The 15,132-nt window shown below is 41.6% G+C and overlaps 1 pseudogene; it reads left to right on the top strand.

Annotated features, from left to right (window-relative positions):
* On the top strand, positions 1,585–4,193 carry LOC154937 (protein phosphatase 2 regulatory subunit B'epsilon pseudogene; annotated as a pseudogene).

Raw genomic sequence — 15,132 nt, 5'->3', positions numbered from 1 at the left:
TTCATGACCTAATCAGTTCCCAAAGGCCCTGCCTCCAAATATTATCCCCTTGGGGATTCGGTTTCTACCTATGAATTTTGGGGAGACAGAAACATCAGTCTTTGGCACCTCCCCATATTTGGAGGAGAGCCCCAGCATTCTGTCTGCCATTAATTGTCTTATCTCAACTACAGCAGAAGGAAGGAAGGGTGTCCAAGGGAGAGAATACAGTTATGGGTTCTTAGTTTCTGTTTCTGGTGGGGTCACTAAAGCCCCTTCCTTATCCCTTTTTTCCACTTATCACTAGAGACAGAAACTAAAAATCATGGCTTCAGGCTGCCAAAAGCCTAAAACAAAACAAAACAGAACGACAACAACAAAATAAGGAGGGTTGGACAAGCTTGGCAAGGAAGCCGTAAGGTGAGAACCATGAAAGTGGAAGTGATCACCTGAAACTTGACAGCATTTCAGATAGAGAGGTGCATTTCAAAGACCTCGAGGTGGATGAATGCTTGGCTTGTCCCAGGAACAATTAAGATATGAGTGCAGCTGGACCAGAGTGAGAGAGTAGGACAGCAGTGACAGATGCAGTTAGAGAATAGATGGGACCAGATCATGCAATGAGGGATAGACTATGGGAAGACAGGAGTAAAAGCAGGAAGACCAATTAAAAGAGGTGCTAGGCCGGGTGCGGTGGCTCACAACTATAACCCCAGCACTTTGGGAGGCTGAGGCAGGTAGATTATGAGGTCAAGAGATCGAGAACAACCCAGCCAACATGGTGAAACCCCATCTCTGCTAAAAATACAAAAATCAGCTGGGCGTGGTGGCACGTGCCTGTAGTCCCAGCTACTTGGGAAGCTGAGGCCAGAGAATCACTTGAACCCAGGAGGCAGAGGTTTCAGTGAGCCGAGATAGTGCCACTGCACTCCAGCCTGGTGACAGAGTGAGACTCTGTCTCAAAAAAAAAAAAAAAAAAAAAAGATGCTGATGGCTTGGTCTAGGATGGTTGCTTGAGATGGGATGGGGAGATATTGTTGGATTCTGGATACATTTCACATGTAATAATAGGTGGGATTTGCTGATGCATTTGTTCTACAGAGTGAGACAGAAGAATTCAGAGCATCTCCAAGGTTGGTCTGAGAAACTTTGAGGCTGGAGGTGCCATTAAAGATAAGATAGACTAGGGCAGGAGTTCAGTTTGGGGAAAGAAATCAAGAATTTATTTTTGGCATAAGATACCTGTTAATGGGCCGGGTGCAGTGGCTCACCCCTGTAATCCCAGTGCTTTGGGAGACCGAGGCAGGCGGATCACGAGGTCAGGAGTTCGAGACCAGCCTGGCTAACATAGTGAAACCCCATCTCTATTAAAAATACAGCACTGGTGTTTGGAATATCAGTAGGTAGCATAGTGCAGTGGTTGAGATCATGGACTTTTGGCCTCAACTGCTGGGGTTCAAATTCTAGCTTTACCACCTATTAGCTGTGAGACCATGGGCACGTCACTTAACCCTTATGTGCCGCAGTTTCCTCTTCTGTAAAAGGGGGACAGAATTACCTCATCAGGAGGATTAATATGGAGATTGCTTGGAAAATTGCCTGATGATCACACTTCTGGAGCTATTTGACAGCGAAGACCCTCGGGAACGGGACTACTTTAAAACAGTCTTACACAGAATTTATGGCAAGTTTCTCGGTCTTAGAGCATTTATCCAAAAACAGATTAACAATAGTTTTCTAAGGTTTGTTTATGAAACAGAACGCTTCAATGGTGTAGCTGAACTTCTGGAAACATTAGGAAGTATTATCAATGGCTTTGCTTTACCTCTTAAGGCAGAACACATTTTCTGGTGAAGGTATTGATCCCCTTACACACTGTCAGGAGCTTATCACTTTTCCATGCACAGCTGGCATATTGTACAGTACAGTTTCTGGAGAAAGATCCTTCACTCACAGAACGAGTATTAGGGGGTTAATGAAATTTTGGCCTAAAACATGTAGTCAAAAAGAGGTCACGTTTCTTGGGGAACTGGAAGAAATATTGGATGTGATTGAACCTTCACAATTTGTTAAAATCCAAGAACCTTTGTTTAAACAAATCGCCAAGTGTGTATCTAGCCCCCATTTTCAGGTGGCAGAAAGAGCACTCTATTATTGGAATAATGAATACATCATGAGTTTGATAGAAGAAAACTCTAACGTCATCCTTCCCATCAAGTTTTCCAGCCTTTATATGATTTCAAAAGAACATTGGAATCCGGCTATTGTGGCGTTGGTGTACAACGTGTTGAAGGCATTTATAGAAATGAACAGCACCATGTTTAACGAGGTGACAGCCACACACAAGTCAGATCGTCAGCATGAGAAAAAGAAAGAAAAGGAGTGTGAAGAATTTGGAAAAAATTGGAGGATCTGGAGTTAAAGAGAGGTCTTAGATGTGATGGAATAATTCCAACTTAACAAAAACAATGACAACAACATTACTAACCTGTGGAGTCACACATTTATGTAGTAGAAGATGGAGCAACAGTTTTCCATATTGTGCAGCTTTACAGTAGATTTCACATTTGTTTCATTATTACAACAGCACTGTATATACCTGTCTCTAAGTAAAGGAAAAAAAATAAGGACTTCAGTCCAAAGTTTGGACAGCAGATGGACTTCTCAGGACTTTGCAAACATAATCATTGTTCTAACCCTCTTTTTGAAAAAAATCAGTCCTCAAAGTTCTGTTGATGAAATTGCTATGTTAAAATTCCATTATCGGGAGTTCCTTATTTATCACTAGCAGAGAGTATGATACAATTTTCAAATGTGAACAATCTTAAATTTAGCTTGTCTTTCTGCTAAGCTGTTAAATGTATTTATAGTAAAGGAAGAAAAAAAGACTCATTTCCTTATAAGTTTGTGTAACATCCTCCTCTGGATAACTTGACTGTAATTTGACATCTTTTCTTTTGCACATCTTCCTGAGTTGAATGTCCATGTGGAATGGGGTCATGACAGAACTGATAAAAGTTCTGTTTACTGGGATGAACATCTTTCTAGTAACCAGGTAGTCCTGGTACTCCTTTAGTTTTAAAACTAGGAGTTAAAAGAGAACAGGTGATAAACATAGTAAGGAAGGGAATTTTGGATTCATGCATCAGTTTATGGTGAATCCAAATCAATGTCTTGAATCCTTTGAAAACAGGCACTGGGACATCACAGGCTTCAGTACCTGACCAGTATTAGTTGCATATATCATTGAACACACATACCACAGATGTTTTAGAAATGCAAGAAAAACATCCTTTTGGACCATTTGAAATAAGAAAGACAAACACTAAACAATACAACCATGAAATTGATCGCCGGGATTGCAAATAAATCTAATTGGGAAAAGAGTTGAGCAAACAGCTTGGACTGTTTGGAGTTGTTGCCTTACTTTTTAATGTATATTTATAAAGTATTCCAGCAAAAGAGGATGTAGCCTCTGGGAAAAAACAAACATGTTACAGTGTTTTTTGTAGATTCTCATTCTATATCTCATCACAGCACCAGCCCTCTTTTTTGCCGGAAAGGATTCAGGATAAGTATTATTATGCATTCTGAATTGGATGCATATTCCTAACTACTGTATTGGTTACCAAAAGTGGTTCTACAAAGGCTACTGAAAAAAATCTGGAAATTCCTAATGTCTTGAGTATTAATAATAAAGTTTAAAAATGGTTTTATATCAAAGGTGCATCGTGATCAAATTGTTTAAGAAAAAAACAAAAAACAAAATCTAGGGCTGTATTATATATATGTATATATATGTGTGTGTATATATATATATATCTTATTGACTCTTCGCTTTGTATTTAAATGAAGAATCTTACATCTTGGGTAGGTAAACTGCTGATAAAACTTGTGTACAGTATGTACTTACCTAATGCAGTTGCATTATTATGTACTGAAAGATATGTGTTTGGGGGTTTATTTCCAGGATGATTTTGCTTGTTATGGACATGGCAGCAGTGAGTTGGTAATCCTAAACCATCACTTCCAGCAGTATTCGTGCTATAGAGCTGATTCTGTGTTCATGCATTGAATTGTGATAGTAGCAAACATGAACATATGAACTATTGTTGCTCTTAATAGAAATACAATATAAATACGGGCTTGTATATTTTCTTCCTTACATTTAAATATAAAGTAGAATATACAGTTTTATTGTTTTCAAGAAAAAGGAAAAAAAGCTGCTGACCTTTCTCCTCCATGAAGTTTTTCAGGATTATCAGGTCACAGTGTGTATGTAAGAGTCAGCTAATTATGGATATTGTTATCTCAGTAACTTTGTAAAAAAACAAGAACAAAACTGGCATTGTTAATTAAAAAAAAAAACCCGCAGTAAAAAAAAAGTCATATGCAACACCAGACACAACATGGTTTAATGGAATTAATAGTATTTTTTTTTTAAAAAAAAGAACATTGATGAGGATTCACTGTAAAGTTGGTAGAGGCTGCCAAAGACAAAACAACTGACTTTAAAAATGCTGGAACAAAGTGATAAAAATAAATTTGTTACAAATCTCTTTTTTAGCCCTCGTCATTTTAGCCCTTTAGTTTCAACTCTACGTTATATTTATTTTTGATGATATAAACTTTTGTTTTCCATTAATTCATCTTTTTAGGTAGAGGATATTAAAATCACAGGTTTATGAAGAATCTCTGCCCATTGGAATGAAATGCAGTCATTTGAAACGAGCAAGGCCAGGATCCTTTTTCGCACCTTACCCTGTCTTCAAGAGTAAAGGTGAAAACTTACAGCTCTCCTCCTTGATGTCAATTTTGTATGTTGATCATTCCAAACTGAGAAGAATAAAGCCACATTTTAGACATATTTAAAGTATCAATTAAAGCTATATGTCTAAAATTCATAGGGCAACTTCTGAGAAGAAACGCTGTCTTTTTCTTTTTTAATGGAAAGTGACAATGTGACATTAGTCATGTTGTGTGCGGTGACGGAGAGTAACTGAGGTAATCTGACCGTTGCACTGTGTGACATATTTCAGGACATACTTGCTGCATTTGCAGCAGCCCTCTGTCCCTGTCCCTTCCCACAATTCTGCTGTTGCTGCAACTTGAGTTAATTGTGACAAATGAAACTTTGTGTTATATTTTGTTTGCTTCATAATTTCCAGAACTATAGATAAATATATTTTTTAAATAGCAAATATTGTAGTTAGTAAGTGATGATGACTCCAACCTTATCCTTACCATATTGATTTCAGGGATGTGATTAAAAGTGTCTTTGGAAGAGAAAAATATACACAACCCTGTGGTTTAGAATGATGCTGAGGCCTTAGGCTGTGGGCCTAGAACAGCTATGTGAGTGAATTCCCCCATCTCATACTTGGAATCAAGCATGCGTCCCTGTTTTTCATTGTGCAAGTATCCCCAGTTGTTTTCCTTCAGTGTTGAGTTTTTGTCCTTTTAAATTTTATTATATGTTGCTCTCCCTAATATTTGACTGTTCTTTATAAAAGAAAAGAAAAAATAAGAAATAAATAATACCCTCAATGCCGCTGGATACTCACAAGCAGGGTTATGTAGATCTTGGGCTTGTTTGCCTAAATGAAAGGGTTTAATTTATTTTGTACCTCCTATGTGTGGGATAGTCCAGGATGCAGAGCCAGGACTTGCTTGTAATTGCACCTGCTATACTTAAATGTATAGCCTTAGGCTCAATCACACTGTGGAAAGAAACAAAAATATTATATTTAGAGCTTTAAAAGCATTTTTATTTTTTTGTGGGGATGAAGGTGGGATGGGAAAGTGATGTATGGATGTTATTGGAATTTTTAAGTGTTTAGAGTTTTTTGGGGTTTGGGGTTTTTTTCCTTGTTTTCCTTTTTTCCTTTTAATTGGATGCACTGACCTGCCCAGGAAATGAAGAGATTCTCTTTTGATGCTCTTACCAATGTTATCATAAGGTGACAGTCACCTGCAACAAAAGGGTGGCACCAGACATGATCACTGATGTTTTATTTGCACATCAATATTTTTATTTTTGTACTCTGGCTCAGCTGCTTCTCTGAGTGGAGTTAAGGAATGAGCCACAAGGGATTTTTTGTAGTAGGCATATTGGCATTGCATTTTATATTCCTCTATATTTAATTTTGAAAATCTAAAAGGATCGTGCATCTTGAGAGAAAGTTGAGCAAATTGTGTTCTAGCGGAATGTGAATTTGTAGTGCTTCTTGTGCATGACAGCAGCAGTAGTATCTCTCTTGGAAATAAATATCCTATATTATGATGTCTATGAATATAGGTTTCCTTTTCTTCCGTCCCTCCCTCCTTTCTTCTCCCACCTTTCTCTTTTTTCTCTTTCTCTGAGCCTCTCTTTTCCTCCCTCCCTCTTCCCTTCCTCTTTCTTTACTTTTTTTGAAATCACTTATTGTAAATAAGTTGTAATCCAAACCTCATGTATAAATGGGGAACTTTCAAATATAAATATTACCAATGCGTTTTCTGGTTGTTGTCTGATTTTTGATTGAAGTATAATGAGAATGACATGTCTGTTACTTTTGGTTTGAGGACTTCGCTTTAGCTTCATAAATCTTTTGGTATTTTAGTATTTCATTGTTTTAGCAGAGAGGGCAGCAAAAGTTCATTTTCCCTGTTAGTAATGCTGTGGTTCATGATCAGTTTTAAATTTAGCTGTGTGTGTTTTTTTAAACAGCATCTTTGTGAGTACAGTAAAAATGAAACATTTTTGATACGAAAAGTTGCATATGAAAATTATAGACTGGTTCGGCCGGGTGCAGTGGCTCACGCCTGTAATCCCAGCACTTTGGGAGGCCGAGGCGGGCGGATCACGAGGTCAGGAGATCGAGACCATCCTGACTAACACAGTGAAACCCTGTCTCTACTGAAAATACAAAAAAAAAAAATTAGCTAGGCGTGGTGGTGGGCACCTGTAGTCCCAGCTAGTCGGGAGGCTGAGGCAGGAGAATGGCCTGAACCTGGGAGGTGGAGCTTGCAGTGAGCGGAGATTGCGCCACTGCACTCCAGCCTGGGTGACAGAGCAAGACTCCGTTTCAAAAAAAAAAAAAGAAAAAGAAAAAAAAGAAAATTATAGACTGGTTCAACCAGACAGTGAAGACTTCTGATCCACATCAAACTTAAAATGCCACAAAACAATCTTCCACCTCTGGCTAAAACATGCTACTTTCTTTTCAAACACAACAAAATGCAAGCTGAGTCTTAAATACTTGGAATTTAAAATGTTTTCCTTTGGAAATGATTTGCTTTCTTCAAAGTTGTAACAGAAACAAAAATGAAGGTGCTCCCCAAAAAGAAATGTAACCTTCCCCTTTCATGGATGTGTGAGAGGTTCTGTACTGTGGGTGCATCATAATAAAGAAGCAGTGAAGAGTCAAAAAAAATGCAAAAATTAGCAGGGCGTGGTGGTGTGCACCTATAGTCCCAGATACTTGGGAGACTGAGGCAGGAGAATCGCTTGAATCTGGGAGGTGGAGGTTGCAGTGAGCCGAGATCACGTCACTGTATTCCAGCTTGGGCGAGAGAGCGAGACTTTGTCTCAAAAAAAAAAAATACCTGTTAATATAAGTGGTAACATTAAGTACTTGGAGTTTAGGGGAGAGGTTGGGTATTAATTTAGAATCCATCAATGCATATATGACATTGAAAGCCTTAGGGTGTATGAGATCTCCTGTGTGGAAGTGTATATAAAAGAGAGAAGGCAGGTGGGGACTGAGCCCTGGGCACTATGGTGTTGAAAAATCTGAAGAGGCCAGGCAAGGTGGCTCACACCTGTAATCCTAGCACTTTGGGAGGCTGAGGTGGGTGTATCACTTGGGCTCAGGAGTTTGAGACCAGCCTGGACAAGATGGCAAACCCCATCTCTACAAAAAATATAAAAATTAGCCTGGTGCAGTGGTGCACGTCTGTAGTCCCAGCTACTTGGGACGCTTGAGCCTAGGAGGTCGAGGCTGCAGTAAGCCAAGATTGTGCCACGTCATTCTAGCTTGGACAACAGACCAAGACCCTATCTCAAAAAAAAAAAGAAAATCAGGAAGACTACAAGAATGTAACAAAAAGTCTAAGAAGGAGTAGCCTCCGAATTAGGTAGGAGGGGGAGAACTGAGAAAGCGGTATTCTGGAATCCAAGGGAGAAAAGTTAAGAAAGAGAGAGGGATCAGCTACATCAAACATTGTCAAATAAGATGAGAACTGAGAATTCTATTACATTTAGCAATGTGTAGCCACTGTTGACCTTGACAATAGAAGTTTCGCTCCAGTTGTGGAGAAGAAAGTCCGCACGGTGAGTCCAAGAGAGACTAATATGGAGACTAATTGGAGGTACACAGAAAGTTATTGAGGATTTTGCTCTAAAGGAAAAGCAGAGAAATTAGTTGGCAGCTAAATAAATATGTGAGATCAAGTGAGGAGTTTCCCCAAAGAGGATATATTCCAGCATGTTTAGGAGAAAAAAACAAAAGGGCAATTGCAAAAGCACAGTTCTTATCTTATAGGCAAGAAGGGGTAAGACAAATGCACTGGAAGATTGGCCGTGAGTTGGAGCAGAGATCCACCACCATTGTAATAAGGGAGAAGGTGGGTGGATAAAGATGATGAGTACACTTGGTAGTAGGAAGATGAAGTGGTCCTTTTCAGTTTGTTTCTAATTCCCCAATGAAATGTGAGGTCAGGTTAGTGCAGTGTTCTCAAAGTGTGGTCCTCAGACCAGCAGCAACAGCATCACCTGAGAATTTGTTAGAAATACAAATTCCTGGGCCCCACCCCAGGTATACCCAACCACAACCTGGAGATGGGGTCCAGCAATTGGCATTTGAATGAGCCTTCCAAGGCCAGGCGCCATGGCTCACGCCTGTAATCCCAGCACTTTGGGAGGCTGGGGCGGGAGGATCACCTGAGGACAGGAGTTGGAGACCAGCCTAGCCAACATGGTGAAACCCCCGGTCTACTAAAAATACAAAATTAGCCAAGTGTGGTGGCAGGCGCCTGTAATGCCAGCTCCCAGAGACACAGAATCATTTGAACCTGGGAGGCAGAGGTTGAAGTGAGCTGAGATCCCACCACTGCACTCCAGCCTGGGGAAGACAGAGCAAAATTCCATCTCCAAAAAAAAAAAAAGACAAAAGAATGAGCCTTCCAGGTGATGATGACATGTGCTCAAGCTAGAGAACCACCGGATTAGTGTGAAGAGGGAGAGAGCAGGGAATCAGAGGTTTGAGAAAATACAAGAAGAAATAGTTTCTCTAGCTCATGGAGGAGTGGGATGACTAGGGAATTGTTATGGGATTGCTAAGCAGGGTTGAGGACTCACTTTTGTGGTCATTAATTTAAAAAATGAGACCAACTAGCAAGATTGGTTTTGTTTACTCTTTCTATATTCAGCTTTTCAGGGGCAAGAGTGGAGTATGCAGAGCTGGATTTTCACCAGGGTTGGTGTTTTGCTGGACAATTGTGACAAAGGGAAGGAGAGCAAAAAGGTGGAACACGTGAGCCTGAAAGTTGAGAGTGCAAGCAAGAGAGTGTCTCTGAAGATGAGCCAGAGAACACAAGGAGAGTGGTCTGTGTGTGAGGATCAGTGGGTTGGATTTCTGGGTGGAGTAGAAGGACTCTTGGAGGGCTGGTTTTAGAAGGAATGGGGCAAAAAGGTGGGATGTGGTTGTCGGACCCAGATTTTGGAGAATTACAGTGAGTGACAATGGCATCTTGGCTATGCCTGAGGCTGCGAGTTGCACAGGTGGGTCAAAAGCAACCATCAGAGATGAGAAACCCAAGGAACTGTAAGGTCAGATGATTAGAAGGATCATTTGCATAGTTGCAGAAATAACCAAAAAACGCAATGGGAATATTGGTGGAGAGGAAGGTGTCAATCCAGAAACTAAACTCTTCCAAGAACGAAGAAGGAGGGAAGCCTGCAGAGCTGTAGATGGTCACAACAAGGGTGTGGTATTATAGAATAAGCTCCCCAAAAGATGGAGACTTTATGGAGAGGCTAAAAGGAGTAGCCTAGAAGCAGTGATCATGATTGGGTACAGCCGGGCGCGGTGGCTCATGCCTGTAATCCCAGCACTTTGAGAGGCCGAAGTGGGCAGATCACTTGAGGTCAGGAGTTCAAGATCAGCCTGGCCAACATGGTGAAACCACGTCTCTACTAAAAATACAAAAATTAGCTGAGCGTAGTGGCATGTGCCTATAATCCCAGCTATCCAGAGGCTGAGGCAGGAGAATCACTGGGACCTGGGAGGCAGAGGCTGCAGTGAGCTGAGATCGCGCTGCTCCATTCCAGCCTGGGCGATGGAGCAAGACTCTGTCTCAAAATAATAATAATAATAATAATAATAATAGTAATAATAATTGGGTAGGATGTTGGGTGGGGAGAAAGCATTGTTGTTTGATAGGGTTGCACAGGCATCTCTCAGGCCATGGCTTAAATTTAGTAAGACCAAGAGGCTAAGAAAAACACTGGGGCACAGCTTTAACATGAAGGGGTTTTGGCTGATGCCACACTGTTTCAGGGAAAACAGTGGAAGGACTTGGAAGGTCAGGGGTACGTAGGGGTTTGCATCACATAAAGAGATGAGAGGCCGAGGCTGGCTCATGCCTGTAATCCCAGCACTTTGGGAGGCCGAGGTGGGTGGATCACAAGGTCAGGAGATTGAGACCATCCTTGTTAACACGGTGAAACCCTGTCTCTACTAAAAATACAAAAAATTAGCCAGTCTTGATGGCATGCGCCTATAATCCCAGCTACTTGGGAGGCTGAGGCAGGAGAATTGCTTGAACCCTGGAGGCATAGGTTGCAGTGAGCTGAGATCACACCATTGCACTCCAGCCTGCGCCAGAGAGCAAGATTCCATCTCCAAAAAAAAAGAGAGATGAGAGTCTGCTGCTGATATTGACATGGATGTCTTGGATTCTTCTAGTGGCAAAAGTAAACAGAGAAGAAAGACATGATAACATGGATCCTGATGATATTGGTATCTTAGGAATAAAGAATTGATTCTAATATAGCCTTCTTCCTGAGATTAGTTGTTTAGGCATATTGTGGGATTAAGATTCAGGGGTGCCCTGGTCAAAACAGCTCCCCCTGTGCATTTCCTCTCTGGCACTTTCCATAGTGTGTCCTTATCTCTTCAGCTAATTATTTTCTCTTCTGTCTCTTCCATACCAAAATAATCTCCAAGACAGTAGGAACCATGTTTACTCTTTAATCATTGTATGCTCACTAAATATTTGCTGAACAAGTGAACAAAAAACCTGGTGGTGGGGAAATTAGACTAATTCTTAATGTCACCAGGAGGTGCAGGTAAGTTGAAAGAATAGAATGGACCTAAGAAGAGGGCCGGGCACAGTGGCTCACGCGTGTAATCCCAGCACTTTGGGAGGCCGAGGTGGGTGGATGACGAGCTCAGGAGATCGAGACCATAGTGACTAACACGGTGAAACCCCGTCTCTACTAAAAAATACAAAAAATTAGCCGGGTGTGGTGGTGGGCGCCTGTAATCCCAGCTACTCAGGAGCCTGAGGCAGGAGAATGGCGTGAACCTGGGAGGCGGAGCTTGCAATGAGCCGAGATCGAGCCACTGCACTCCAGCCTGGGCGACAGACCTAGACTCCATCAAAAAAAAAGAAAAAAAGAAAAGAATTGACCTAAGAAGAACTTGCTAATCATTACACTGGTATAGTCACAGGACTGTCTGCCTCCTAGGGAATGAGCTGTCACTTTGCCACAGTTTTAAACTAGAGCTGTGTGGCCTGGCGCGGTGGCTCACGCTTGTAATCCCAGCACTTTGGGAGGCTGAGGCGGGCGGATCACGAGTTCAGGAGATCGAAACCACGGTGAAACCCCGTCTCTACTAAAAATACAAAAAAATTAGCCGGGTGTGGTGGCAGGCACCTGTAGTCCCAGCCACCCGGAGAGCCTGAAGCAGGAGAATGGCGTGAACCCGGGAGGCGGAGGTTGCAGTGAGCCGAGATCGTGCCACCGCACTCCAGCCTGGGCGACAGAGCTAGACTCCGTCTCAAAAAAAAAAAAAAAGAAGTTAAACTAGAGCTGTGTGTTCAGCCTGCTGGTCATGTGATTTCCTGCATTGAGCCAAAAGTTGGGTAAGATGAATCATCAAAGGCCTTGACAGTTCTAGAATTCAATGAAACTAAAGCATTCACGTGTCACTTGTGAGTGGTGTCATATCTTTGTTCTTCATGAAAAAATCCAGTGAAATACTCATTCCCTGGTGTTACTCCCAAGAGCTTGAATTCAATCATTCATCCACCATACATCCATTCATCCATCCTCCTTCATCCATCCACCATTCATCCATTCATCCATCCTCCTTCATCCATCCATTCACCATCCATCCATCCACTATCCATCCATTCATCTATCCACCATCCATCCACCACTCATCCATTCATCCATCCACCACTCATCCATTCATCCATCCTCTTTCATCCATCCATCCACAATCCATCCATCAACCATCCATCCATTCATCCATCCTCCTTCAACCATCCATCCACCAGTCATCCATTCATCCATCCTCCTTCATTCGTTCATACTCCTTTATCCATCTGTCTCTCCATTCATCTGTCCATCTATCCATCCATTCAACCATCCATCCATTCATCTATTCATCCATGCATCCATTCATCCATCCAACCATCATCAAAAAACATTAATACATCACTCTTCAAAGCCACGCCGGGTCCTATGGAACCACAGATAAAACATATGTGGTCTTTGAAGAACCCACATATCAATGGGGGAGAAATACATGCTAATAGAAATAATAACAATAATATCCAATACCAGGTTTCTATATGAGAACACCTGTCATATAGTACTTTCTAAGTGTTCTACAAATATTAATTCATCTGTCTCCAGAAGAACCCTAAGAGGTAGGTACTATTATTGTTGTCAATTCATATGTGAGAAAAGTGTGGTTAGAATTTTCACTCCATTTAGAATTTGGGATGCTATAAAAACAGCCCTGGTTTAGCCTACGTCATGTGGATCTGAAACAAATACTTTTAAGAATGAACTTGTTGCTGTGGTGGAGGTGGCTGTTTTGAGTGACAATATCCTTTCCAGTCATCATTGTAGAGAGGAAAGAATATTGTTCTGAAATTCAAGAATCTGGATGTTAGTCTGGTTCTGTGGTTAGCTGTGTGGCTTTGAACAACTTGCTTTCCTCCTCTAGGCCTTACTTTCCTCCTCTGTAAAAGGATCCTAAATCTGTGTGTGAGGAAGGGCAAGTGTGGTAATGGCTGGGTTCAGCAGAATCCCTGCATACAGTTGTATAAGGTGCATATTGCCCAATCCCAGGAGCCACCACATACATAGGCTAAATGTGAATGGAGCCACCTGGAATTGTTCCACATGGTGACCTGCCTCTCAGGTGCCTTCTGCCTCTAATGATTTTGCAATTCACTGATGGTTTTCTTTTATCCAGACATGAAACACTATTCTTTGTATGAAGGATGGAACCACATTTACCTCCCCAATATTTTCTAGTCTATCTGGTTTTGAGTACAACTTAATTGCACCCAAAACTGTCCATGTAAAAAACAATCTTCTCCAAACTCCTCTAGCATCTCCACTTGCTTTCAGCGTCTCCATAGAGAACCCTCCCTCCTGTGGCGATGTCTGTGCGTAAGCAAGCGAATCTGAAATTCTGTGTCTTCACAGATGGATAATTTCAAGACAAGCCCAAAGTACATTAACAGAGGAATGGGGAAGAAATCTACAAGGAAGCCATATAAGCAGCCTTAAGCAAGAGAAAAGTAGGTGATTCTGATAATGCTACAAGTTCCAGGAACCCAGAAAGGATAAGAATGAATAAAAGTATATATTTTAATCAAATTGAGTTTTTCCTATTATGAAAGTCTGATATGCTCATTATAAAAATAAAAGTTTTAACATAGTGTATTTCACCTCCTTTTGACTTTTCCATTCTTCTTTAATTTTTTTTTTTTTTTGGAGATGGAGTCTCGCTCTGTTGCCCAGGCTGGAGTGCAGTGGCCCAATCTCAGCTCACTGCAACCTCTGCCCCCAGGGTTCAAGCTATTCTCCTGCCTCAGCCTCTGGAGTAGCTGGGATTACAGGCACCTGCCACTGTACCCGGCAATTTTTTGTATTTTTAGTAGAGACAGGGTTTCACCATCTTGGCCAGGCTGGTCTGGAACTCCTGACCTCGTGATCCACCTGCCTCAGCCTCCCAAAGTGCTGGGATTACAGGCTTGAGCCACCGCGCCCGGCCTATTCCTTTAATTTTATGTTTGTTGTTGTTGTTGTTGTTGTTTTTTGTTGTTGTTGTTGTTGTTGTTGTTTGAGATGGAGTTTCGCTCTTGTTGCCTAGGCTGGAGTGCAATGGCACAATCTCGGCTCACTGCAACAACGTCCGCCTCCTGGGTTCAAGCGGTTCTCCTGCCTCAGCCTCCCAAGTAGCTGGGATTATAGGCACCTGCCACCATGCCCAGCTAATTTTTTGTATTTTTAGTAGAGACAGGGTTTCAGCATGTTGGCCAAGGTAGTCTTGAACTCTTGACCTCAGGTGATCCACCTGCCTCAGCCTCCCAAAGTGCTGGGATTACAGGAGTGAGCCACTGTGCCCTGCCTAATTTTACATTTTATACCCTTTTTATTTTGTTTTATTTGAATCCGTTTAATGTAAGTATAATAATGCTGTAGGTAAATTTCATGAATATTTTAGCTTTTTAAGCTTACGGCTATTTAACAAACAATTTATCTCATACTATCACAACCACTTTATAAACATAATGTTTAGTTAAGTTTTTTTGGCCAGGTGCGGTGGCTGACGCCTGTAATCCCAGCACTTTGGGAGGCCAACGTGGGTGGATTGTGAGGTCAGGAGGTCCAGACCAGCCTGGCTAATATGGTGAAACCCCGTCTCTACTGAAAATACAAAAAATTAGCCGGGCGTGGTGGCACGCGCCTGTAGTCCCAGCTACTTGGGAGGCTGAGTCAGGAGAATCACTTGAACCCAGGAGGTGGAGGTTGCAGTGAGCCAAGATGGCACCATTGCACTCCAGCCTGGGCGACAGAATGAGACTCCCTCTCAAAAAAAAAAAAAAGTTTTGTTTTTTGTTTTAGTTTTTGTTTTTTTT

Source organism: Homo sapiens, chromosome 7 (genome assembly GCF_000001405.40).
Source record: "Homo sapiens chromosome 7, GRCh38.p14 Primary Assembly".
Classification (NCBI taxonomy): Eukaryota; Metazoa; Chordata; class Mammalia; order Primates; family Hominidae; genus Homo; species Homo sapiens.
The sequence above is the reverse complement of the archived record's forward strand: the minus strand, read 5'-3'. Positions and strand labels throughout refer to the sequence as shown.